The sequence below is a fragment of the Homo sapiens genome, chromosome 7 (genome assembly GCF_000001405.40).
Source record: "Homo sapiens chromosome 7, GRCh38.p14 Primary Assembly".
Classification (NCBI taxonomy): Eukaryota; Metazoa; Chordata; class Mammalia; order Primates; family Hominidae; genus Homo; species Homo sapiens.
In genome coordinates, this window is record NC_000007.14 from 30,849,224 (window position 1) to 30,875,663 (window position 26,440).

Genomic DNA, 26,440 nt, shown 5'->3' on the forward strand with positions numbered 1-26,440 from the left:
CTCCCCAGCACAGTTCCGCATGGAGCTCAGGAATTATTTGGTGACTGAAGGCAGAGAACCCCCTCCTCTGTATTCCTTTGAGCCCTAGCAGAGTCTTCATCAAGTCCTTTTGTTTGTTAGGGAGAGACCAGCTAGCTTCCGTATGAGTTTTTTAAAAATTTGCAGAATCCAAGAGAAGCCTAGAAGTACACCTCGAAGGAGTCCTGGGAATATGAAATGGAAAGAAATACGTATATTCGGCTGTTTCCCTTCCCTCTCATTCAGTTCAGGCACCAGGGACCTCTTAGTTACCATTTTTATTATAGAGAGGTCTCTGCCATGTTTGATACAGCTGACTGCCTGTCCATTTGATCCTACGACTGTGTCGTGGCACTCTCTCCTCATTCTGCCCCTCTGACCCTTCTTCCTCTGCCTCCGCTGATTCCTTAGAGTTCCACAGGGTTCCACCCTTGGCCACGGTCTCTGTTTTTCCTCATTCTGTCTCTGGGAAATCTGTGCCCAGCCCCAGCTGCTCTCTTGGGCTTTCTACATGTCTGACAGCCTTATCTAAAGATCTGAGTGCATCTCAAACTCAGTAAGTCTGAAGTGTGACTCTTTATCTTCTATCTCCAGCTACCTCTTCCCAGCCACATTGTCCTTATTTTGCTTGATGGCACCACCATGTGCCCACTCAAAACACAGAGCTCATCCTTGAATCTGTCCTGCCACTCATCCCCCACTCTCTGTGTCTAAATGTCCAGCAAGTGAGGCTGCTGTCCCCTTGGCCCTGGCAGTGAATAGCACCTGCCTGTACGTGCTACTGACTCCAGAGGCTTGGAGGTGGGCATGGCCAGGGCCAGGGCAGGGTCCTGAGATGGCAGTCATTCCCGAGCACTGCTGGCTGGGCCTCCCAGTCCCTGCCAGAACTCATGGCACTTTCTCTCACACACTTCTGGGCCCCACCAAGCCTGCAGAGCCCTCTTTGCTCCTGTGGGCCCTTTCCTCTGCCTCCTCCTTCACCAGCCCCACCCAGGGCCTCCCACTTGAAGGCACCTCCTTTGGCCCTCAGCTGTGGAGACCCCTCTTTCCTGGGCTTTGCCTTGGGGCTCCTGGGCTGCAGGTGGCCCCTCTGCAGGCCAGAGAAAGAACAGGCCATCTGCGGAGGGGACTGCCTGACCACACTAAGTAGAGCTGCACCATCTCAACCTTGTGTCCACATGGGCATAAATGCCTTCCTTTTCTTGTCCGCAGGGGACTGCAGCCTTCAGATGCCCACCGGACCCGCTGCCTCGTCCTGGCCCTCGCAGACATTGTGTGGCGGGCAGGGGGCCGAGAGAGAGCCGTTGTTGCACTGTAAGTGGTTCCGAGGTCTGTGTTGCCGTGGCTCATCGTCTGCTGGCAGCTGCCGGCAAGCTGGCTGTGTATGCTCCTATCCTTGGGTCCTTCCGTTACCCACCCTGTGCCACATGCTGGGATGAGCCCTGCAAGCCAGCCTGATGTGCTGAGCAGCCGCAGACTCAGGGAGAGCCCTGGCCTTCCATGCGGCCCTGCGATGCCCTCTCTGGGCTCCAGTTCTCATGTTGGAAGGCGTGGTCTGTCTGCCCTGCCTTCCTCCTGAGGAGCTCTGGGGTGACCCCTCAGAGGAAGCCTCTGACCCCTGCAGCCAGCTCCTCTCTATAGTTCTCTGATCTGGAGGCCTCAGGAAATAGCCCCTCAGGTTGAGTCAGTCCTGACCCCACTGTACTGCTCTTCCCAGTCCCCAAAGCACACTGCCATTTGCTCTGTCACTTGGGTCCCCATCCCATAAAGACTCAGGGAGGTGAGGTGGAGCCCAGGCCCTGGACCCAGTTATCCTGACCCGCATCGTCTCTTCACCGCTGGCCCCATTCTACTGCATATAACCCACATGCAAGGTTTGCTGGGTCTTCAGCCTGATCCGTCAGAGTGGAAGCATCGCTGTCCCAGCTGTGAGGCTAAGCGGTAGTATAAGGAGATCACTTTTGGGGCCAAGGACCATACTCTGGGGGCACGTTGGTCACTGTAGCATATTGCTTCAGAGAAAGGACTCTTAGGTCAGACTCCCAATGCTGTTGCTTATTGGCTGTGTGACGTTGGGCAATGGATGTAATCGCTCTGTTTACTCATCTGGAAAATGGGGATGATTATAACAATTACTTACTTGGATGGCTGTGAGACCTAAATGAGTCAGTATAAAGAAATGATATAAATATGATTATCAGTTTAAATCATTTTATCAATATGAATAGCTGATAAATAATAATAATTGCGAAGTGCTTAGGACAGTGTCTGGCACATACTAAGCACCACGTTTTAGATATCGTTATTTGTTTTTGTTATTATTACTGTCACTTGTCTTTGGTACTCACCTTCCAGTTAACTTATTAACCCCGGCCCTTAGGATCTGCAGGGCAGCCCTGAGAACAGATGGGGCAGGAATTCAATTTCTCCCTGTTTTACAGATTAGGAAACAGAAGCCCAGAGAGGGAGGGTGGCTGGTCCAAGGCTACACAGCCACTAAAGGAGCACGGGGCCCCAAACCCGGCTCCGATTCCTGGACGTCTTGGGCTACACACCCCTGGGGACTGCACACCCAGGGGGAGCCTCGGAGAGGATGGAGGTGGAGTTCCTCCATCAGTGAAAACAAAGGGCAAGTCAGCATTCCGCAGTCTGGAAACACATTTGTCAGTTGTGGGTGAGAGTCAGACTTCCTACTGCCAGGGCTTGGGTTTGGGTTTGGTTATTCCAAGCTCTCCCTTTGCAGTCTTTTTTCCATTTCTTTTTTTTTTCTTTTAAATCCTGCTATTGGAGTTCTCTGGGCCCAGCCTAGTGGGTGAGTTCAAAGTGGGGAAAAATGAGAAACTCTTGGCTCCATTTTCTCTCTGGAGCCACCTTCTTATTTGTCCTTATTTAATGACACATGTGGTTTCGCCCCGGCTGGAGGGCACGCCTTCTCTCCACTCAGAGGACTCATGCACCTTCCTTTCCTTTTTAGGGCTTCGAGAACACAGCAGTTCAGTCCAACAGGGAAATACAAAGCAGATGGAGTCTTAGAAACAGTACGACTTTCTGGAAAATTATCACGCAAACTTTGGCTTTGTTTGGGGACTGTCTCCTTTCATATAAGTAAATCCTTCCTCAGCTGGGGACAGGCTGGCCTTCCGCAGCCCAGGTCCCAGGAATCCTCATCCTGGGATTAGGGTGGGGACAGACGTGGGGTGGCTTTGGGGATGGGCTCCTGCTAGAGCTGGCTTTACGGCCAAAAGGCTGACTGGCTTCCTGTCCCATCGAGGGTGTGCAGAGCTGAAGTCTGTATGGAATGCCTTTTGGTTAAGCCCCAGGCTTCCCTGTGTCCTTCTTCCTCTTTCTTTAGCATCTGCTCCAGGATTGTTGTGGGAGGGGGTGGGGCAGGGGTGGTAAGGAGAGGGAGAGAAAGTTAGAATGTGGGGAGGAACTTTAATAGCATGGAACACCAGCCATAAAGCCAGATCTAAGTCATACACAATCGGGGAAATAATGGAAGACATACATTTTTGTATTTTGTAAAATATAAGAGCAGTGAAGTTTTTCAGCTACCTCTTGCCAACCTCTTCACTGAGAATTTTTGTTTTAACAAATTAGTTTCATTTGACCTCGGTTTGGGCACGTGTTGCCCTGTGACCCTAACTGAGGGTCTCGCATTGTTGAATGTTTTCTCTTGAAGTGTTTTTTCCTGGCCTGCCTGAAAAAGCAAAGGAGACTCCTAAGGGCTGCTTCCTGCTGAACTCAGGACACAGCCTGTTGGCTTCCACCTGGCCTGGCTATTGTGATTTGGATATGGCCCCTGCCTTATCCACCTCCCTGCCAGCCGCCTCTCTGATATCAGTGACTCGCCCATGGGGTGCAGCCCTCCCCTGTTGGGGCCACACAGGATGCTGGAATTCTGGGGTCTCAGGCCCAGAGCTGCCGTAGGGCCACCTGAACCCTGACGACTCCAGCGGTACCGGCCAGCCTTTCACTCACATACAGGTATGGCCGTGCCTCTCAGCCCTGACTTGGAGATGCTGCTCTCTGACGCAGGGACATTCCCAAGTTGGATTTTGTAGCTACTAAAGCCAGGGAGCAGAAGCTAATTCAGGATGGGGCACTGCGTGGGGCTTGGGCCACTCATCCTGAGTGTTTGTGTCTTCTCAGCTTACGCTTCACAGTTTGACCTGCTATGAGGACCTGGTGACTTTTCTTCAACAAAGCATTCATCAGGTATGAAGCATGCCTTACTCCTGTGGGATGTGCGTCACTAAGCCTTCTGATTTCACTGTGGGAACAATGCTGTGAACTGGAGTTGTTCTCCTGTCGTCCCACCCTGGGATGGCGAGGAAGCTGGGAAGGAGTAATGCTGGCCCCTGGTTGGGGGCTGAGGAGAATGGACTTGGGGTGAGGGATCTGGCTCCTGCCATTGCATCCTCAAGAGCTGGTCCTGGAGGCAGGGCACAGGTAGCAGCCACAGCCAGGACTACTGACAGCAGAGCTGGACGGGTGGGGTCAGGACACAGGAAGCAGCTGTTAGATGGAGGTCACCAGAGCTTTCTCTCTGTCTGAGTGGAAGCAGCCGCCACTGGAATACAGGAGCTCTTTGTCAGTGGAGTGGGTCCTGGGACCAGCTGGTGAGGTAACCAGAAAGCGGCTTCTTGGGTGGGTTGGAGGGCTTAGCAGTGTGATACACACCTTGATTAGTATCCCTGGGGTGGCAGGGCTGCTCTGGGTGGGGGCTCTGGAGCCCCCCCGCCTGCCAGAGGAGAGCTGTACATCCACTCCTGGCCATGAGCTGGGCGGGACGTGGCCAGGGCCAGACAGCAGCAGATCACAGGGCTCCGGGAAGTCATGGCAGAGCTGTGGTATCACAGACTCTGTGGGGAGGGGCTACACACTCCAGGGGTAAAGAACACGGTCTCTGGAGCCAGTTGGCCTGACTTTGAATCTAGATTCACCCTTCAGTAGCTCCCTGACCTCAGGCAACTTTCTGAATCCTTCTGTACCTCACTTTCCTCATTTGTAAAATGTGGGTCAGAAGAACAGTGCCTGCCTCAGAGCATCGCGCAGAGAGCCTAGGGCAGCTGGGCTGTGCTTGATGTTCTCAGTAGTTGTTAGCTTCTGTTGTTGACATTAGGATTGCCATTGTAATGATGCTCTAAGGGCAGCCTTGAGATGGGTTCCTTGTAGACATGTAGAAATGAGAGGGAAGCATTACAGAAGGCAGGTGTGGCCTGAACTAAGGCCAGCAGACCCGCGACCTCTGAGACCCCCACTACGAAGCAGAGGAAGAACACAGACCTTTCTCTCCTGGTGTGCTGGCTGGTCCCTGAGCCTCACCTTGCCTTCCCTTTGACCTTCTGGATGTGGGATCCATTCTTTTTGGCCCCACAGAAGGCACTGGAGGGTTTGGTGGTAAGCCGGAGAGTGGGAGAACTTGCTGGAAATGGGACCAGGACTAAAGCTCCTGCTGTCAGACTGCCTTCCGCAGAACTTTCCCAAAGACCCTGAAGGCCTGGGCACAGCCCTGGGAAATGATCAGGCCCTGGCAGCACCAGATGTCCCTTGGGTAGGCAATGGGGCCTACCCTAGGAACAAAAGGAGGCAGGTGAGGTCACCGGAGGGGCAATCCACCTGAAGTGCTTTCACCCCTCAGCCTGGGGAGAGGCCTCAGGGCCTGTCCCAAAAGCATGGATTAGGATGGCTCCCTTTCTACGTGGGTTGCTCTGTCCAGGCGCATGGGAGAAGGAGTGCTGGCCGGGGCATCGGGAGCCCCAGGCTGTCTGTCCTTTGCTGCCTGTCCCCAGCTCTGGTTTTTCACTGGAGTCACTCAGTAGGCCAACTGCTGATGCGGTGCATCCACCGCCTGGCCTGGGCAGAGGAGGCCTGGAGCAGGGGCCTGGGGGCCCCCTTTGGCTTATTCCTTAGTCATATGTAGCCTTGGGAAAGTCACTGGGTCTCAGTTTCCTCATCTGGAAAATGGAAGATGGAGCAGTTATCAGGTAGCTTCCAGCTCTTCATCATCTAAGGGTGGTCCTCAAAGAAGAACCTTAAACACTTGGAGAAGGGTGTCTTCCAAATGCAGTACTAGGCAGTCTGAAGGAGCAGAAAGGAGACCTGCTGTTGATCCGGAGTGTTGTGAGAGTGCAGCAGTCACAGGAGAGGCGAGCAGAGCCTGATGGCATCCGTGTGTGGGATCTGGCCAGGGTGGCCAGGAATGGGATCACCTGGTCACACTCCCAGCTGAAGCAGAACGTGGAGCCACCAGAGCCAGGAAAAGGAAGTGACTGGTGAGGCTTCAGGGGCTAAGGTGGAGCCTGAGGGTGATTGCTCAAATGACCACAGATCCTGAGGCTTGTAGCTGCCCACTGATGGACTGGGGTGGCCCCTCAGCACCAGGACCTCTGCATCCTTGTCTATGAGATGGAGCCTCCCCCTCAGCCTGTACCCCAGGGCTTTGATGAAGCCTAACCAAGACAGGGACTGTGGAAGGGGTTCAGAGAGTGGGATTTGTTCCAGGGCGAGGGGGCCTCCTTTCAGTGATGCCTCTGGACTCAAAGCAGTCGCCTCCTCGCCTGGCTTTGGTCCTTGGTACAGGCGGTCAATATTCGGCCCTCCTCACTCTGGAAGGCAGCTCTCCCCCTGCAGTTTAATTCATGTTTTTGCTGGAAGCAGTTGAGCTGCCTCAGCACTGCCCTCACCAAATTCATTTTTCATGGCCTGGGCCTAAGAGGGGTTCCTCGTGCCAGGCCTGGAAATGTATACCAAGCCATCTTTGCCCAAAATCAATAGCCTCCTTGCTGTGTTTTCATTACTGCTCACCCTCTGGGCAAGGTGTCTGGCAGGCTCCTGGCCAGCTGGAGGATGCCCCCACCTCTGCCTCCCATTGGAGTTCCTTGGTAGACTCAGGTCTCTGTGGAGTGCAGAGTAGCACTGGAAGAATAGCCCCTTCTTCCCAAGTGGCACCACTTTCTAGACCCTGATGGCAGTTTTCAGGCCAGTTGCCTTGCCTGACCTCGCCTTTCAATGCAGGCGTGTTGCCCTGTGGCCTCCCATGTCTTGGCAGCTTGAATTTGATGAGATAATTGTAATAAAAGTTTTAAAAAACAAAATGGAATATTGGTGCCATTTAGTGTGTTCCAGCAAGGGCAAGAAGCCTCAAGCAGGGTTCTTCCCCACCCACTGCAGAGAGGCATGTCCAGGGCTCAAGGGGTCCCCTTGAGGGTGTTCCTAGGACTGGGGGCAACGCTGGCATAAATGTAATAATAGTTCCCCAAATTTACACAGAGTTGGGGTTTACAGTGGGTTTCTGTGTCTGTTACTTCACTGCAGGTAGGTAGGCGTTACAGGCATTGGCGGAAGGGGAAACAGACCACAGACCAAGAAAGTACTGCAGCTGCCCCAGGACTGCATGTATGTCCATGGCAGAAGTAGGCAAGAGTTCTAGAAGGAGAAACTGAGACCAAGAACACTTTGTGACTGTCCAAGGGGAGATGGAAATTTGTGGCAGATTAGGTAGGCTTTCTATGGAAAGGGACACCGAGACCAAGAGCTTCGTGACTTCCCTAGGCAGCATGCAGAGCTGGTACAAGGGACTGGTGACCCAAGTCCTCCTGAGCCTGTGTCCCCCTGTGCAGGGGGAGACATCAGCATTACTCTTTGCCATTGTCAGAGCACTTCCACAGACATTGTCTCAAGAATGTGCACCATAAGCCAAGGAAATAGGCCAGGTGGGTCTTCATTATTCTTATTTTGCAAAGAGGAAACTGAGGGCAGCATAAATGAAGTGGCTGGCCTGAGATCACAGAATGAAGACGAGGTTGATTTAACATTGTTGTTGATTCATTCATTCCATTCCTACTTCCAAAAAAAGACTGGAAGTTGCTTTGAAAAGTAAATGATGTCCTCAGGGCTCTGCTGTGCCCCCGCATAGTCAGCTTGCCCTCTCTTGCCTGTGGACCTTTGCACGTGCTTCTCCTTTTGGAGCGACGTTCACTTTTCTGATTCCTTACTGTCCCTTAGGTTTCTGTTCAGACATCGCTTTCTCCAAAAACCCTTCCTTGATACTCCCTCCCCGAACTTGAAGTCTGTGTTGAAGGCCCTTCCTGTGTGTTTTTGAAGGAGCCTGCATTTCTGTCATGGCAGAACCCCTTCTCCCAGCCTTTTCAAGGTGCTTATTGTTTTTTCTTCCCTAAGTTATTTCCCCAAGAGGAGAGATCCATATCCACCTTGTTTTTTTTTTTTTTTTTTTTTTTTTTTTTGAGACGGAGTCTCGCTCTGTCGCCCAGGCTGGAGTGCAGTGGCGCGATCTCGGCTCACTGCAAGCTCCGCCTCCCGGGTTCACGCCATTCTCCTGCCTCAGCCTCCCGAGTAGCTGGGACTACAGGCGCCCGCTACCACGCCCGGCTAATTTTTTGTATTTTTAGTAGAGACGGGGTCTCGATCTCCTGACCTCGTGATCCGCCCGCCTCGGCCTCCCAAAGTGCTGGGATTACAGGCGTGAGCCACCGCGCCCGGCCATATCCACCTTGTTAACAAGTACAGCCTTAGCCAGGAGCATCCTCTTGGCACAGAAATTTCACCAATACAATCTTTTTAAAAAGACTAATTGACCAAGTGAATTCCTGGATGACAATAAAGAGTATATTTTGAGGAAAAGAAAAGGTAATTTTATCAGAAGCTTGAGCTGCAATAGTTACCATAGTAGAGCACCATATTTGGCTCTGAGCTTCCTGGCAGCCAAGGCAAAAATGTAAACATGGTAAGTTTTATAATTTTCATTGTCTGTTCCAGGAGAAACAAGTTGGGATTTTTTTTTTCTAATTTTAAGTCCAAAATGTGATTACACATAAGGAACACTGACTATTATAACAGGCGGTGTCTTCAGTCACAGTTCATGGTTTCCAAAGTGGAATGAGTGAGGCCTTCACACTGACTTGAAGGTGGGGATGGTGTTTCTCCGGGGAGCAGAAGTGACATGGCCGATCCCAGTAGGCTGTGGCCCACTGGGCTTACTGGACAGATGGGCAGGGCAGAGCCAGCTTTGTTTTAACAGCTAACACAGGTGCCAGGCCCTGTTTGAAATGCTTTATAAGGATTAACTCACGTAATTTTCACAACTTGATAAGGGTAGGTGCTGTGATTATTACCCTCTTTTTACAGATGAGAAGACTGAGGATAGAGGAGTCCAGGAGTGTTTCCATGGTCACATAGCAAGGAGTGGCAGAGCGAGGATTTAAATTAGGCGGTCAGGCCCCGGGACACCAGCTCCAAACCAGAGTTGGGAGGAGGACTCACTTTGGATGCAAAATCTAAGGGGGTGCCAAAAATCTCAGAAATTAGCAAAACCTATCTTTTTTAAAAATCAGAGTTTATCAGAAAAATCCACAATGAACAAAATACCAAAATGTTGATGTTTTAAAAATATATATATATATATATAAATTTAAGACATGCATCTACATGGCTGCCTCCTTCGCCTCACCAGATCCTGACTCTGCTCCAAACCTGCTCTCTGCTGCTCTTAGCACAGCACAGTTCTTCTGAGTAAGGGATCTGGAATTAGAGATCCCTGGAGTCCCAGTGTGCTGCTGACAAGCTGTGTGGCCTTGAACTGGTCACTCAGTTTCTGAGCCTCAGTTCCACATATGCTAGAGGGCAGTAATCATAGTACTGTCCCCCAGGACTGTTAGAGTGTTCGGGGTGATAATGCCCATTAGATGCTTGCACCATAATGGAGCTGGCCATGACTGTTGCTGTCTTGTGAGTTTTGAGGACTCTGAGGTCACTGATGCTCTCTTTGGTGGCCCCTGCATCACCCTCGCTCTGCTGTCATTGTCATTCAGGTTGTTGCAATGTCCCATCCTTTAGGAGGTCAGCCTTCGGGCCACCCAGCAACCCCAGGGCTGGGCTGGAGGCAGTTGGCTCAGGGCAGGCTGCTCCCTGGGGTGTGGCTCCCACAGAGGTGTGGGGCTGGGAAGAGGGAGGTGCAAATGGGATGGAGCTCATTTTTCTCTCCCCCTCCCAGTTTGAAGTGGGCCCCTATGGCTGCATCCTGCTCACCCTTTCTGCCATCCTGTCCAGGTCTACAGAGCTGTGAGTATCTTTCTCCCTCAACTCCCTGGGGCTGGGCTGGTCTGTCTTGTTCACTGCTGCCTCGCTAGAGCCCAGGATGGTGCTTGGCACATGTTGAGGGCTCTGTGAGTATTGTGGAAAGGATGAATGAAGCAGTGGAGTAGGGGAAGGTCTGCTGGTGGAGGAGAGAAAGTAGTGGCATTCTACATATACACGTGTCCAGGGCTACCATGTGTGTGGTGGACAACCTGAAAGACACGCCACCAGCCCTTGAGGAGCTTGCCTGGAACTGCAGTGCATGCACACTTGAGCACTCAGGGGGATGCCCCTGGCACTTGTGCAGGGGATGGACAATTGAGGCTGAGACCCAGGAGATGGCTGAGGGCCCTCTAGAGCTCGGGACAGGAAGGCCTCGCTGTAGACCAAGGCAGCCCTGCAGTCGCGTGGACAAGGCTGGCATCCTGGGTGGTGAATGGGCGGTGGCCAGGAGGCCCTGGAGGCAGGGAGAGGTGGCAGGGCGGCTTGTCCTAATCTCCCCTGCCTGACCCCTTTTGGCAGGGTCTCTATGCTGACTCTGTATCAGGTGGAACATGGTCCCCAGCCTGCTCCACAGCCGGAGTTTCCCCATGAAGCTCATTTGCTAGGAGCTTTTTAGGCCTCTTTGTCTGTATTTGTCACCTGGGCATGTCACCAGGAAGTGTAGCAGATTAATAGCGCATGAACGGTTGTGGAAAGTACAGTCAATTGCCCCATTCACTTTCAAGCAGAGGACAGAGCCCTGGGGGCCTGGAGTCCTGGGAGAGTGAATCTTACTTTGAGGGATGCAGGTGGGGTAGGACTTGGGAACAGCTCTCAGCAGGTGGGCCCTGGGAAGTGGGGAGGCAGGGTGAGTAGCCTTGTGGTGCCCAGGGGCGGGAGGTCACAGCAGGAGACACTTCTTTCCCGGCCTGGTTGGGTCTGGTCGGCGCCCTCCCTGTTTCCAGGGGCCTCTGCTGTGGATTCGGGGGAGGACAGTGGGGGCTCTGTGGCCTCGTGCGCCAGGCTGCCTGCTGCTTGCTGCTTCTGACCTTATTAAATGCGTGTGAGTACACAGCGCTTTCCAACTTCTAATCCTGCCATAATGATATGATTCATTCCTGGCGTGGACTCACGTGCATGGAGACCATAAGCTGCACCACCTTCTCCCCAGGACTGGGTTTGCTCCTGGTTTGGCTCATTTCTGGGCTGACGGGTTGGGTGGGAGTCTCCAGATCTCCCTGAGGGGAAGCTGCACTCTCAGGAGGGCCAGGCTCAATGATGCCAGTCTCAGCGCCCCCATCCATGCGGGGGCCCTCTGGCTCTGGGAGTCTAGGGCTCTGTGCTCGAGTGTGTCAGTTCTGGTGGTCACTGGGAGTGGGCGCCTTGTTACATGCATGCTCCTGCATGTAGCCCTGTCCCTCTGAAAGGGGCTTCAGGGTTCCATGCCCAGGCCAGTCTTCATGTTGTGCACAGCTGGGGGACTAGGGCTGCTTCTTCCCCCTCCCTACCCTTTCCAATCAAGCTGGGCACCTGTGGGGAATTAGTGTGGGGAATGCTGCCCTGCTGGACCTTCACAGCCTCATGCTTATGGGCCTGAAGTCACACCCCTGCCAACACACATACACAAAGACAAACATGGATACACACAGATATACAGATGCACATACGTGGCCACACACAGAGACACACACACACAGACACACGAAAACTCACAAAGACATGGACACACACAGAGACACATAGTCCAGCTGTTCTTCCAGGACATCTGAGGCCCTTCCCTGGGTCCTGCAGGCAGATGGTCAAGGCCCCTGGGGCAGTACAGGCCTCTGCCTCCCAGAGGGCCCAAATAGAGCCCTGCTATGGTGTTCGGGCCAGGCAGGCAGGCATGGATTGGGCTTTGTCTTACACTGTGGCCTCCCCTTCCCCTCTCCTAAGACGACAGTGTGTAGGCAGGTCTCATTGCCAGCGGTAAGGATAGCGTCTGTGAAGCTTCCCATGTGCCAGGCCCCTTGCCTTAACATTCTGCACATGAACGCATCGAGTCCACAGCAGCCCTGTTAGGTGGGTGCTGCTGTGAGTGCTGTCACCATCCCTGTTTTTCAGAGGAGGAAGCAAGGCTGAGGGAGGTGAGTAGGCTTCAAGATTATACAGCAAGTAAAACTGGTGGCCTTGGGCCCCACCCAGGCCATCTGGCCCTAGAGCTGGCTTTTTGGGTTTGCTGTTTGAAAACCTGAACTTTGGAAAAAGTTGGTTGGTTTTAGGCCTGACTCTCTACTCCTCTGAATAGAGCTGGAGTTTCTTCCTCTAAAGTGGGAGTGGGAATTCCTGCCTCATAAGATGTAGCTGTGCTTAGCACAGCTCCTGGTGGGTACAAGCCGGGAATAATGGCCACGGCTGGTCCAACCGTATCCCAGGAGCTCAGATGGCTCTGTGTGTCTTCTTGTGTTTCCTTGCCTGCAGCCTTGGCCTGGGGCCCTGTGGTGGAGGCCGTGCTGCCATCTCAGTAGGCACAGCCACAGGGATGTCCGGCAATTCCTGATGGGGCTTCTGTGGTGACACTCACCCTTGGCAGGCATGTCCAGAGCAACCGAGAGCATCTTGTGCTGAGTGCCACTGGGGGTGTGAGGAGGGACCATGGGACCAAGCCCCGCCCAGGGGCATGCAGTTCAGAGGTGTACTTGAGAAGACACCCAGCTCTCTCTGATTTGTTCAAGTTCAAAAGAACTTTAGTTAAGCTTGTAGTTAAACTGAGGGCTTCAAGTGAGGAACAGGGCAGGCCTTGGGCAGCCTGTGCTGCCTGGGGGCTCCTCCAGTGCTCCCTCCTGACTGTTGCATGCTTCCCCCGAGGGCCTGCAGGAGATGTGGGCATCTGAGTGGAGCTAACCCTCCTACCCCACCTGGAGCCCAGGGGAGACTCCTGAAGAGGAAAGACGGGAATGCCAGCAAGGATGGGAATAGCCCGGGCAGTCGTGGCACTGCCCAGATCCCATGAGACAGCCACACTGAAATTATTTCAGATAATGTGCTAGCATTCCTGCATGTGGGAGTGCGCCCGTGAATAAGCCATTCTCTGGCCTTCCAGAGAGTAGTCCCCAGAACAGCCTGCTCCTCTCACGTGCCAGGCACACTGCACTCCAGCGGCGCTCCCTGCATCCCGGCACCTCCAGCCTTGGCTCTCTGAGGGATACCAGGCTCTGCTGAAGGTTTGCGGTGATTCGCAGGGCAATGATAACAGTTCTGGGGCTGGAATCCCACCTCTGCCTGCTGCCTCCGGGGCTAGCCGCTGGCAAAGGCCTTTCTCTACAGACATTTGGACACTTGGGTGCAAATGTCACCCACCTCAGGCTCCATTAGGTTTGTCCAGGGAAGCCCAGTGAGGTGGCAAGTCACAGGAAAGCACTCACTTCTTGACCACAAGAAAAGCACCAGGATACCTAGGTCCTCAGCGCAGCTCAGTCACCCACAGCCGTGTGGCTAACCCAGCCTGTGCCTTAGGTTCTTTATCTAACAGGAGGGGTTAGTCTGGTGCTTTTTTAAACTATGTTTGTAATGAAAACAAAATCTGATTTTTTTTACCCAAATAAGCTTTATTTTCAAGCTCACTGTGTGAAGCAGATGCAGCGGAATGACTTTGATTAGAGCGGCAGAGGTGGGAGGGAGAGGCCCCTGCTGCCCCCCTCCCCAGCCTGCCAATCCAGCACCAACCCCTGCTCTCCAGCCACTGTCCCTGAGACCCCCCTTTGGAGAAGCCCCAGCTCTGCATACACAGCTTAAAAACCTCGGGACCAGATGATCGCCGAGGGCCTTCCTGTTCTGGGGTTCACATTCAGCTTTGCCAAAGAATCCTCTGATGCCATTTCAGGGCAATCTGTTACCACTTTGGGCAATTGAAAACATGTCCTGGTAGCAAAAAGAGACAGCTGAGTCTCCAGGACCAACTGCAGTTCAGCTGGAGAGAAGCAGAGTGGTGGGCTGGGAAAACCCAGCCAGTTCTTTACAAATACAGCATGTGTATGTGTACATTCGTGGTGGTGTGATAGTGTGTGTGCGGATGGGAGAGATTGGTGACACTGTATGGCCGGGTGTGAGATGACATGGGTGTTGGTGGTTGTGTTGGAGATTGTGTGAAGGGTGACTTGATTGTGTACATGTGCATGTGATTGTGATGTGTGATGGAGAGGGCATAGTCGTTCCTCCCTCCTGGTGAGGGTTCTCTGACTCATGCCTGGGCACTGGAGGCTTCTCTTCTTTGGCCCTTGCACCAAAGTCAGTGCCTCCTGTCTGTTGGCCATTCCTAACCCAGACCAGAGCCAGGGTGAGGACATCATGGACAGATGTAAACCTAGCCGAGTGCTGCCGACCACTGCCTGCCTGGCCACTTCATTGTCAGAGGCCCCAAGAAGAGTCGAGAAACAGACCTTTGAGGTTTGTTTATCCCAGGCTGTGCAAAGCCTTGTGAAGGTTTTTTTTCCACTTGATTTCAAGCCGTTTATTTTCTTTTCTAAGATCTCGAATTGCTTCCGGTAAATCTCATGCAGGATTTCATGCTTGCCAAGCTTTGCTGCTTTTCAAACCACATGGCTAGAACTTTCCCCAGGGAGCTCTCACAAGCCCCAAGGATGCTCAGGGTCCTGGGGTCAGGACCAGCTCTGAACCAGACCTGGGCAGCACTGAGCATGGGCTGCTCTGGTGCCTCAGTGGAGCACAGACCTGGCCAGGTCATTGAGGCCCTGAGAAGGTCCAGTGGGGGTGAAAACCTTTTCATGCAGTAGATTCTTGGCCTTCATTACAGCAGCAAGTTCAGCTGCCCAAAGGCAGTCTTGAAAGTCCGGAAGAGGTGGTAGCTTCTCATTTGCTGAAACAGTTTTAGAACAGCACAAGCTAGGTGCTGAGGGTGAGGGATGACGCTGGGCAGGACCCACGCCATGTCACTCTGTGGCTCTTTGTAACTCTCCTCAAGAGATTAAAAGCAATGGCAGCAACAAAATAGTTGATTCCTTTGTGCAAATAGTCCTGAAACAAAAGCCAACTGTGAGTGTTGGTTGGAAAGACAGTGACAGAAGCTCAATTCCCAGCCAGTGTAAGCAGAAACAAAGCTACTGACTGATTCCTATCAGAAGCCCAGGCTTTAAGAGGGGCTGGATCCAGGAACCCAGACATTGTCTTTGGGAATTGGTGTCTGTTCTTTTGTCTCTTCACTTTTGGCTCCTCTGTCCCAGCTGCATTCTCAGGAAGGTCCTTCTGCACGGTGGGCTCAAGGGAGCCCTTCTCCAGCAGCTCCTCAGCCTGCTGGGTGCTGGGTGCCATTCCTGGTGTGATTGCCGTGGCCAGGCCTGGGCTGCACCATCACATATATATGGACATGGGGTATCCCCAAAAGGCAGTCACTGCCCAGAGAAGGCCACCACATCTGCTAGCAAAGGGATAGGGCAGAGTCAGGAAACAGGTATCTGAGAACAGGAGAGCAGATGTGGGTTTGGGGTGGGCTGAGCCTTCATGGAGGCCCCCAGGCTCCTCTCAGTAATGGAGAAAAGAGATCACCAAGCTTTCTGTTCCAGCAATTGTGGGCAGTGCTCACCCCGTCAGAGACCCTCTGGGGGGAATCACGGGGGTGGGTGGTTCGTGGGGTGAGATGTGAACAGGGGCTGTTCCCCTTGAGAATCACGGGCTCTTGGAGGTTTAAGTGTGCTGTTCTGAACGGGAGGGGTCCATGGGATGCTCGTCAGCTTACCTGGGACTCTGCTGAGCCTCTGCCAGCCCAGAATAATGAATAATGAGGTGTGAACAGAGCCACCCAGACCAGGAGCCTGACCCATGGGCTCCCGTCTCTGCACCGACACCTGGCTTTGTGGCTCACTTGCCCTCTCTCACCTGAATCTTCCCCCAGGTCACATGTGAGGCAGGGTGGGTTGGGTAAGTGTCCTTCCTACCCAGCATGCTAAGACCTTTTGAAGCTTAGCTGGGAAACAGGAGAAGAGGAACTTCCTCAATAAACTCCAGCCGAACTTTGACACTGATTCAGATTAGGGCAGAGGCCCCACTAATGAAGATTTTCAGCAATGTCTCAAGAGACCAAGGTGACAATGGAAGGTGGACCCACGGGGGCATGGATGCCAGTGTCATGGAAATAGTGGGCCCACCACTGAGACTCCACTTCCTTCCACTGACTCTGTCTCTCTCCCTGGTCCCGTCCCTGGGAGCCACCTGCTCCTTTGTCCCCAGGCCCCTTTACAGGGAACCAAATTCTGTCCTGTAGATCTCTGCCTCGCTTCCTCTGGAGACCCTGTGCAGACACCTGAATCTGGAGGCTTAGCCTCAGCGGGAGCTGGAGGTGGAGGAGAGAGGGAAAGGGCCCTTGCTGCCATCTTAGGCCTTTGTTGTCTTGTGGCAACCCAAGGGATGGGCCCACAGGCTGGAACCCTTTTCTCATTTACAGGTGTGGGAACTTTGAGAAGTGAGGGGTCAGTTAATGGCACAGTTGGCAGCATCACCTGAGGCTCCTGGCTCTCAATCGAAGACCCTGTGCCTGCATCGTCTTCCCTGGACTGTGGGAGGGGTAACAGGAGCTGCTCAGCTGTGTCTGCTGACTTAGAAAGAGAGGTGGCAAATGAGGCCCTAGATAGGCCCATACCAGCTGGGTGCTTGACTACCTGCTGTCCTCTCGCAGTGCAGCTGGCATGGGCTGGGCTAAAGCAAGCCAACTGTGCCTGGGCCAGACCCCTAAGCTGCTGAGATGGCAAGTCACAGCCACTGAGCTGTGAGGACAGTCATTCTGTCATGGACACCAAGCCTGAGAGCTGGGTGGGAGGGGTCCACCTGGTACAGCTGAGAAGGGGGGCCACACCCAGGCCACTGAAGAGCTGGGAGGTCTCAAGACCCTCGGTCCTGTGTGCATCTCCTGCCCCTATCCACTCACCCAGGGACCTTACATGTTCATGCAGGGCCAGGTGCGCAGAGAAAGAGGACAGGCCTCAGAAGGAGGGAGAGGTAATTAACCTGCTGAAAGGGTCTCCTGTGCCAGACCAGCCTCAACTGTGTGGGTGGGGTGCTCACTTCCACCTGCCTCTTCCAGCTCCTGGAAGCTGTTCACCAGGGCCTTTCTCACATGCAGTGTCACCTGGGGTAGGTGTGGGTAGGCTCATGTCATTTAGGGGCACAGTTGCTGTGCACCTGCGGGGTCTGGAGACCAGTTCTAGCCCTCAAAGTCCTTGCCACCTGGAGAGGCAAGACCAGTGTGTGAAAAGCAGTTGGTGGGTACCCTTAGGAAGCGGAGGAGAGATGGGGCATTTCTGTCCCTGGGTTGAGTGAGATTTTAGAGGAGGTGACATTTAGCAGGGCTCTGAGGGATAAGTGGGAAGGGTTTTGGCAGGCAGCAAGAACAAAGCAGGCAAAGGCCACTGGTGGGGGTTTGCAGGGATCAGTTGCAGAGGGTCTAGTTGGGAGGGAAGGAGCTGGACATGGTGGGTGGGAAGAGGTGGGTGGCAGAAGGCAGCTTGGGAAGGGCTTTGGCCAGCTGCTGATGAGCCTGGGCCCCTGCTTTCCCTTCTTCCTCCTTGCAGGTCCCTCTTTTTCCGTCCTGCGGAGCCTTCCACCAACTCTCCCCCTGCCTCCTGGGCTCCCATCCTAGCCCTCTCCTCTTACTGCTTTGAGAATGGAAACAATTTTGACCCTCTAGCCTGTGGGGCACTCTGCAGTTTGCAAGACCTGATATGGTCTAGTCCCTTATTGCAACAGCCCTTTGAGGTAATTATTGTTATCCCTGTCAGGATGACACACTGGAGGCTCAGAAATGGAAAGCGATTTACCAAAGGTCACGCAGTGCAGGTGGCAGAAGGGGCCTGACACCCATTGGTTCTGACTCATCGTCTACTCCCTCTTGGCCATCCTGGGAAAACAGTTGATATCCGCTGTATCCAAATCCTCTTCAGATATTCACAGCTCCATTTCAACTGCTCGGAGGTCTCGGTTTAATCTGGGTTCTTGGCCGTGATATGAGTGGTTGAGATGGCAGGAATCATGACCTCTTGGTTATTGTTTTTTGTTTTGTTTTGTTTTTTGTTATTCTGGTTGTTATAGTAGGAAAAAGGAAGTGACATTTACCGAATGCCAAATGCTTTATATAGTTCATCTCATTCAGTTCTCACAGCAGTCTTTAATAGAAGGAGGCATCATTGTACCTGTATTGCAAATGGGGAGACTGAGGCTCAGAGAGGGAAATAACTGATAAGTGGCAGTAATTGGATTTGACCAGGGCCCTCTGACTTTAGAGCCCAAGTTCTCTTGGTTGTACCACAGCTGCCCTTACACTATTGATGTTGTCCTTAAAAGTCAATATAAACCCCACGAAAGGGCTGTTATCTCTGGAGGTCACTGCTGGTGGGTGGGGGAAGTGTGGTCAAGGGTCAGTTTCTGAGAGTGGCAAGCAGGAGCTGGCCTGGTAGGACAGGGATCCTCCAGGGCCTGGTGCCCTAGTGGTCAGGTGGAGGGGGGATAGCTGGTTGGGTCTCCCCAGGGTAAGTACTGCCTGCTTCAGGCTTGGTGTTTTCAATAGAGTCATGGACCAGGCACACTTGTGCACATCCTAGGAGGCCCCTAGAGATTTCTTGCTCCAGTCCTCTGGCTTTCTAAGTGAAGACACAAGCTGAGAGAGAGGTCAGGACATGCCTGAGGTCACTCACCCAGTCAGGGGCCGAGTGGACGCTGGTGTTAGGTGAATGGCTGTGACTGTAGGCTGGGACCTGGTCTCTAGGCCACTTGGACTTACTTTCCTTCTTATTCAGAAACTTTTATACCACATGCCCAGATTCACACAGGGAGGCTTTTAGATGAAGGGACAAGCTGTGCCTGAGCCAGCAATGGTGGGGGCTAGGGGTAGGGCTTTGGGACTCTAGGGCTTGCTTGGAGCTGGCTGACCTGGCTGATCATCCCATATTTCAGGCCACAGCAGACACTGTGATGTTGGTACTAGGGACAGAGTCCTAGTCCTGCCTACTCTGTGTGACCACAAAACCACGAGTCCTTTTTACTGACTGGACCTCAGTTTCCCCATCAGTAAAACAGAGATGGTGGTCTTACCCTCCTGGCCTTACAAGGCTTTTGAGAGAAAGATGCATTTGAAGGTGCCTGAGACTATGCAGATTCGAAGCCCATGCATTGTGCAGCCTGCTCAGTGGCAGAGCCTCTTCCCCTTCCGGGATGTATGGACAGAGGGCAGGTGGAGAAGGGAAGCAGAGAGCCCTGAGTCTGGGCTGACATCTGTCACTAACTCAGGGCCAGTTCTGTACTCTCTCTGGGCATTCATCTGACCTTCTGCAAAATTCTGAGCCTTGCAAACTCTCCCAGCCCTGATATCCCCTTTGTTCTGTTTCTTGATACAGCGTAGTATCTCAGGGACCTTCTGATGGTGGACAGAGTTGGGAGGTTTGGTCCTTGCTGGCATCCTGGGCAAAGCTCTCTATTCCTCCTTCTCTGTCTTTGGGTGATACAGGCATCCCTGGAGGCTGGGTCATCCAAGCATCCCTGGAGGCTGGGTCATCACCCCAGACCTTTGGTTCAGGGTTCTGACCCTTCGCTGCCAGAATGCTGCAGAGGTTGGTGTCAGGGCAGCCAGGGCAGCCAGGGCCAAGCCTATTCTGTGAGTTTTCACCCCCTGGTCAAGCCCATCTCTCCTTTGTGCTTATTGGATTGAAATCCCAGCAAGCTCTGCTCCCTGGAGGGGCCCCCAGTGCAGGACAGCTTCCATTTTGTGTGGTTCTGGGCCCTCCTGGCTCCTGTCATCCAGCTTGGTGCCTGGTTCCTCAGGCTGTGCAGAATTCTCTGAGGGCCCAGGGTCATCCAGCCCCCAGGAGGACATGGAGGAGACAGCTGCTCATTAGACTGGATGGTTAAGTCAGTCTTTGGTAAGGGACAGTCACAGCTGTGGCTCAGGTGGCCCCTGCTCCTAGGATGCTGCATGTTCTTGGAGATCCAGGGGCTGATAGAGGAGGAGAAGGATGGGACAAGCCTCCACACTGCCTTCAGCCCGTATGTTTCATGTAATGGGCTTCTGCCTGTAGTATTGCATTTGAAGAAAGGGCTCTGAATCTAAAAAGATGTTGGAGGCTACTTGTGTTGGTTTCTAGGGCTGCCATAATGACAGACATTCGTGTCTTACAGCCCTGGAGGTGAGAAGTCCAAGATCAAGGTGCCAGAGGGTTGGTACCTTGTCAGACCTCTCTCCCGGGCTCGCAGGTGGCCACTTTCTCACTGAGTCCTCACTTCATCTTTTCCTTGTGAGTGTGCATCTTTGGTGTCCCTCTATGTGTCCAGATTTCCTCTTCTTCCAAGTCAGATTGCATTAGGGCCTACCCTAATGGCCTCATTTTAAGTTAGTCACCCCTTGAAAGGCTCTATTTCCAAATACACATTCTCAGGTGCTGGAGGTTAGGACTTCAACATATGAATTTTAAGGGGACGCAGTTCATGCCATTACACCTCTCATCTTCTCCAGGCCCCTCGTGCTGCAGGAGGGGAGACCGAGGCCACACAGCAGGCTGGAACTAAGCCATATGGATTGCCTTCTCTCTGGGGCAGTGCTGAGGCTGTTGTTCCTCTGCTCAAGGACTCCTCACACTCAGCTCTCCAGAGAATTCCCCTATTCCCCTAGAGGGAGGTCTGGGCATCTAGGTTTGTAGATTTGCCAAAGTTATAAATCTCTTAAACCATAAGCCACTCCTTGGCATCTCTCTCTCTCTCGAATGCCCTGATATGAAATGCAGATGTTCCTCCCTTTTAAGATCTCAGTGCACTGCTGAATTTCCCATCGTGTTTGCACCTAAGGATGCAATTACCATTTCCTCCCATTGTCCTTTCTGCCTGTCCCCCTGCTCCCAGCTGACGCAGGCTCTCGAGCCCGCTGGGTGAACACGAGGTAATGATCTTATGAAGATTGGACTGCTTCTAAAAGCTCCAGGTGGCATAGGGCCAGTGATGCTTATCGGCCCCCCCTCAGGACCCTTTTGAGGTTATTTTCTTCTCTTCAGAAGATGCTTGTATATGCTGCAGAGAGCATTTCCATCAATTCTTCTGCCTGAGCTAGCGCCAGCGAAGCGCTATGCTCTGCCATGAGTCACTCCCAGCTGGCTCCTTCCCAGGCCTGCTGGGCTGTCTGTGGTGGGTGAGCCTCAACCACCCTTCCCAGAAGACCCCCAAGCCTTAGTGGTTCTCTGCAAGCTCCTGCAAGGGTAACCCCAGCTCATCTTCTCATGTGGACCATAAACCTTCCGTGTTTGGCCATGGTTATTAAAAACCACAAGCAAGTGTTTTCCCCAAGTATTGTGGAGCTGGAATTGCTAAACTTGTTTTGGAAGCAGACAGAGACTCAGGCATGTATTTTAGGCTTGTGGGCTTATGGCAGATCTTAGATTTAAAGCATACATTGAGACCAAGTTTATCTTCTCCTCTACTGAAAGGAAAAAATAAATGCTCTGATTGCTAAGCCCTTCCTACCCCTGGGTCTCCTCTCTAAATGTTATACCTGGCCTCTCTCTTTGGGGTGTGGTTGAAGGAAGGGGGCCAGGCTCTGAACACAGTGCTGGGTGGCTGTGTGTGCCCCCCCAGGGCCATGTGTGCCCCCCAGGGTCGTGTGTGCCTCCCAGAGTCAAGTGTGCCTCTCAGGGTAATGTGTGCCCCCCAGGGTCCAGTGTGACCCCCAGGGCCGTGTGTGCCCCCAGGGTTGTGTGTACCCCCCTGGGTCGTGTGTACCCCCAAGGGCTGCATGTGACCGCCAGGTTCAGTTGTGACTCCCAGGGTCGTGTGTGCCCCCAGGGCTGTGTGTTCCCCCCAGGGTCATGTGCAGAAGTGGGGGGGACAGACCTGGGACCCAGGCTCCCTGGTCTCACGTTGCCCCCCAGAGCCAGCTTCTCTGTGCTTCTTCCCACATCTATAAAATAGAGACAGGAATTCCTACTTCATTCGGGTCTGGGGGTTGCAATTGCCACCTGCTGAGCACAGTGAGTAGATAGCAGCTCCTTCCCTGTGTGCTCCTTACAGGGCTCTGTTCAACAGAGTTTTCATCTCTCAGAGGGAGTTACATTGGGGTGGCTAAAAGGAACCATGTCCTAATGGCAGGCTTCCTAGCAGGACAGCAAGCCGGGAAGGAGGATGGAGACTTGGGAGGGTTTTCTGCCTCACGTGTGGCACACCTCTGCTCACCGGGATACTGAATTGTTCTGGTTCCTAGCGGTGCTCAGCCCATTTCTTTCAGTTTGGGGAATGTCTTCAGCAAAGTAGGTTTTCACCTTGCATCTTTTGAAGGACTCCATTCTGAGGGTGGAACCACAGTGGTACCAGGGGGTGGGGGCACAGGCCTCAGAGCTGGGCACCCTTGAGCAAGACATCCCTTTTCTGAGGCTTGGTTTTCTCAAAGGGTTTTAGGGAATAATGTGCGTACAGTGCCTGGTGCAGGAGCAGGTGGTGGTGACTGTTACTCTATAACTCAAGGAAACATTAGAGTCCATTCCTCCCATTTTACAGGCTGGCAGACTGAGGCTCAGAGGTGGAAGAGGGTTCCTCAGTCTACACCATTGGTAGTGACAGTTGGGATGTGAATTCAGGACACTGGATTCCAAACCCAGGGTCCTCTCTACCGTGTCACGCTTCAGTCGCTGTTCTCTAGTGTAGGCAGAGCCCTGGTGCGGCTGGAGTGGAGGCCATTGCCCAGAGAATGCAGTGAGCTCTACTCTAGGAGGCCTGGGCTCTAGCCCCATCCCTTCTGGGTGGGAGCCTCCTCCGTGGAGGGCACAGAACAGAGCGCTCAGGTTCCCACCAAATCTGGAATTCTGGGTCTTAGCCTGGAACCTAAGGGGAGCGCCTGGTCACCTAGCGAGGTTTGCAACCTGGGTCAGGCAGAGCTGTGCTAACAATGCTTCTTGTGTTTTCCAGCATCCGCCAGGACTTTGATGTCCCCACCAGCCACCTGATTGGAGCACATGGCTACTGTACACAGGTCAGGGGGCGCTGTGGGGCCCAGGTGGTCCTTCCCCCTCCTCTGTCCCTCAGAGAGGGAGAGGTCCTCCTCCCTCCTCTTGCCCCAGAAAAAGACAAGTCTTTCTTGCCTCTGCCAACACTCTTCAAGCAGCTTTCACGTGCCCACCTCTGCTGGGTTTCACTGTCATGTCATGGAGACCCAGAAAGAGAGCTCAGTTTAGCTTCTGTTTCTGGACAGCTTTATGTGCACTGATGTATGTGCTCAGAGCTGCAGAGGATGCAAAAGAGGCTGAACTCAGACCAAAGTGCTACACAGCCCGGAGCCCAGGACACAGGGAGTGATGTCTCAGGCATGGGCCAGGGGACCCTGGGTCCAGCTGGGGAGATGATGGCCCTGGCCTCTTCTATGTTTGCACAAGGTATTGTCTTTATAGCCACCCTTCCCTTTGCATCTTTACAGAGGGGCCCTCAATGGACCTCACAGGGGCAAAGAAGACCCTGAGCACAGTTGCTTGTCATCAGTCCTCTCAGTCACCCAGGTGACACCAGGGAAGGGACCTTTTCAAGATGTTACCTAGTGAGCATCAAAACTGGGAGCTCAGCTCTACACCTGGCTTCTATCCATGCCTTTCTCCCCATGATGAGGCCTCCCAGAGTGGCCACACAGGCCACAGTGAAATCTGGCTCTCAGCACATGGGGGGCCACAATGCGTAGCATGGACGGGCTGGACAGAGCTGCACATCTTCTGGGCCCAACTGAGGACTCAGTTGTCCTGGGGGTCCTGGCTCACTTGCGCCCAGCTCTGGAAACCTACGTGGGCACCATACAAGGCAAGCTTGGGGCCTGTGGTTTGTCCAGGGCACCCACAGAGGGACCGTGGGGTTGGCTGCTGCCCACCACCCTAGAGGAAGGCCTCACGGGGAGTGGCTACTCTTCTGGCTGCCCGGGGTGGCCTCACTCTCACTCCAGGCATCTGCCTGCCCCATGGGAGCTTTCCCTTTTCTGGGGCAGAGAAGGATGCTGCCCAGGTGTGGGCAGTCAAGCAGGGTGCAGAGGAACCCAGATCAGAGTCTGGGGCTGGGTCCCAAGCCCTGTTCTCTGTTTCACTCACAATATGAGCTGGGGCAGTCTTTTTCCCCTCCTGTGTGTCAGTTTCCTCATTTGTACAAGAGGCATTTGGACTGGAACAGGGCTGCTTACACTTTGAATGAATCCCCTAGGGGTCTTGTTGAAGAGCAGGCTCAGATTCAGTGGGTCTGGGCTGGGGCCTAAGATTCTCAATTTCTATCAGGCTCCCCAGGGAGGGCGATTCTGCTGGTCCATGGACCACACTGAGTAGAAAGGGACTGCTAAGCTTTGCCATTGTGTGACTTTGGAGTCTAGGAGCAGGGAGAGGCCTGATGCCCCTTCTTCACCATCTCAAGAAGGCTTCCTGCTATGAGGAAGATTTTAGACACAGATCAGGGAGCAGGGGCTTTTATCCCTCTTGAAAAACCAGATGGGAAAACTCGAACTTGCCTGAAAAAGGCTGTGCCTTTCTCAGCAGCTGCTGCCCCTGACGTGCATTATTTTACAGCAGACATTTCCTCCAAATTCTTGTGTCTCATTTCCTCTACAAGGACACAATAAGTCCCCTTTGGTATCTCCCTCCAGTGGGGGTCCCTCTGCGGCCATCAGAGGAGGCCTCTTTTACTGTCACTGGGGCAGGGGTATTGGTGTTAACTGAGGGATTTATTAACCCCCGATGTCATTTTAACGATTCAGGCGAAAACACCTCTATAAACTCTACCCTCCAGAGTTTACACTGGTCAAGGGCCGTTCTGGCCATTCCTACGTGCTCCACTGTGGGAGTGATGCCTGCCTTCTTGTGTCACAGGCAGCGCCAGCTGTGGCAGAAGGTGGATGAGACAGAGAGACCTGCCTGCCCTAGTGCTGGGGCTGGGCTCGCTCAAATTCCTCCTCAGTAGGCCCTTAGAGGCCACCCTTCATCTTGAATCTGTGCCCAGGCAGATAGTACCATGAAAGTAACAGGGTTGGGGGAAGAGGGAAGTCACATGGGACAGAGAGAACCAGATGTGGGTGGAAGCTCAGCTCTGGCCCTAATGGGCTGTGTGGCTTGAGTAACCCACCTGTGAGCCCCAGTTTCTCCATTCCTAAGAGGAGGTTGGATCCTTGGTTATCCTGCATAAGGAAGGGACCTTCCAGCCTTGTTGGTACACCAAAATGTGGGAGGCATGGGTTGCAGGTGACTGCTGGAGGAATGTTGCTCCACACGTCACTTTCTCCAAGTTCCAGGGTTGGCATGCTTGTTGGCTTGCCAGGTGTGTAGCTTGAGTCACAGGACCACCCAATGCCTCATGCCACGTAGCAAGACAACAGCAGAAGCAGAGCTAGAACTCATACTTGGGCTTCCTACTCCCACCTCTCTGCTTCTGTTCTTGCTGCCTACTGAAGTACCTTCCTCGGCTTTCCCTGCCCTGTTAAAACCCCACCGTCACTAATGAAGTTCAAACAAGGCCTGGAGTTTAGTTATTGGTACTGCACCATGGTCAGTTTCCTGGTTGAGATAATGGGCTCTGGTTATGTAAGATGTTATCGTTGGGGGAAGCTGGGTGAAGGGTACACAGGAACTCTCTGTACTATTTTTACAACTTCTTTTGAATCTAAAATTATTTCAAAATAAAAAGGTTTCTTTAAAAAATAACATCGTTTAAGACTCACCCAAATGTCACTTCTCCTTAAAGCTGCCCTGACTCAGTCATGTGGCCTCGTGTTCATCTGGCTCCAGAATACTCCATGCACACATTTTTACAGCCCCAGCCACATCCTGCATTGAGTCAATGTGCAGACATGCACCTGACTCCACAGTCTAGACCCAAAGCACATGTCAAGAGCCATGTCTCACCCTCTCACCAGTGCCCCCAGTAGCCTGCAGCATAGGACAGGGTCCTGTGAATGGTTGGTACTCAAGGAGTGCTTGTGGAATAAAGGTGGATGGGTGCCTGGAGTTACCTTGATGAGAAAAGTTGGTGCCTTTCCCACAGGACTTGTGGGAGAATTGAAGTCACAGCCTCCTCTGCTCTCAGGCTCTCTCCCTCCTTGCTTTCCTTCCTTCTCCACCCTTTTTGTCTTTCCCCAGTCTCCTCTCCACTCTTTCAGTAACTGATTCAGACTTGATGAGTCTTTCCCCTTTCTCTCATCTGCAGGAACTTGTCAATCTGCTCCTGACTGGGAAAGCTGTGTCCAACGTTTTCAACGATGTGGTTGAGCTGGATTCTGGGGATGGGAACATCACACTTCTCAGAGGCATTGCTGCACGCAGTGATATTGGCTTCTTATCTCTCTTTGAGCATTACAACATGTGCCAGGTACCCA

At 53.0% G+C, this 26,440-nt stretch overlaps 1 protein-coding gene and 1 long non-coding RNA gene across 2 annotated transcripts in view, besides 2 other annotated features; both read left to right on the forward strand.

Moving 5' to 3' along the window:
* Positions 1 to 26,440, forward strand: part of INMT-MINDY4 (INMT-MINDY4 readthrough (NMD candidate)) — a 140,253-nt gene that overhangs the window by 97,089 nt on the left and 16,724 nt on the right. Inside the window, exons 12-17 of the long non-coding RNA NR_037598.1 lie at positions 1,231 to 1,332; positions 2,993 to 3,056; positions 4,171 to 4,236; positions 10,034 to 10,101; positions 23,020 to 23,083; positions 26,272 to 26,433. This is a non-coding gene — a long non-coding RNA (INMT-MINDY4 readthrough (NMD candidate)). The remainder of the gene's footprint in view (positions 1 to 1,230; positions 1,333 to 2,992; positions 3,057 to 4,170; positions 4,237 to 10,033; positions 10,102 to 23,019; positions 23,084 to 26,271; positions 26,434 to 26,440) is intronic.
* MINDY4 (MINDY lysine 48 deubiquitinase 4) overlaps positions 1 to 26,440 on the forward strand; it is a 120,971-nt gene that overhangs the window by 77,807 nt on the left and 16,724 nt on the right. The window contains exons 10-15 of the mRNA NM_032222.3: positions 1,231 to 1,332; positions 2,993 to 3,056; positions 4,171 to 4,236; positions 10,034 to 10,101; positions 23,020 to 23,083; positions 26,272 to 26,433. Of these exons, the coding sequence (NP_115598.2) occupies positions 1,231 to 1,332; positions 2,993 to 3,056; positions 4,171 to 4,236; positions 10,034 to 10,101; positions 23,020 to 23,083; positions 26,272 to 26,433 (526 nt within the window). The remainder of the gene's footprint in view (positions 1 to 1,230; positions 1,333 to 2,992; positions 3,057 to 4,170; positions 4,237 to 10,033; positions 10,102 to 23,019; positions 23,084 to 26,271; positions 26,434 to 26,440) is intronic.
* Positions 4,332 to 5,234: an enhancer, noted in NCBI's record as "H3K27ac-H3K4me1 hESC enhancer chr7:30893171-30894073 (GRCh37/hg19 assembly coordinates)". NCBI's record gives its function as "activates a minimal SCP1, AML or CMV promoter by ChIP-STARR-seq in primed H9 embryonic stem cells {active_cell/tissue: H9 hESC(primed)}" and the evidence as "EXISTENCE:reporter gene assay evidence [ECO:0000049][PMID:30033119]".
* Positions 12,476 to 12,635: a silencer, noted in NCBI's record as "fragment chr7:30901315-30901474 (GRCh37/hg19 assembly coordinates)". NCBI's record gives its function as "represses an EF-1alpha promoter that drives an FKBP-Casp9 reporter gene in an ReSE screen in HepG2 liver carcinoma cells {active_cell/tissue: HepG2}" and the evidence as "EXISTENCE:reporter gene assay evidence [ECO:0000049][PMID:32094911]".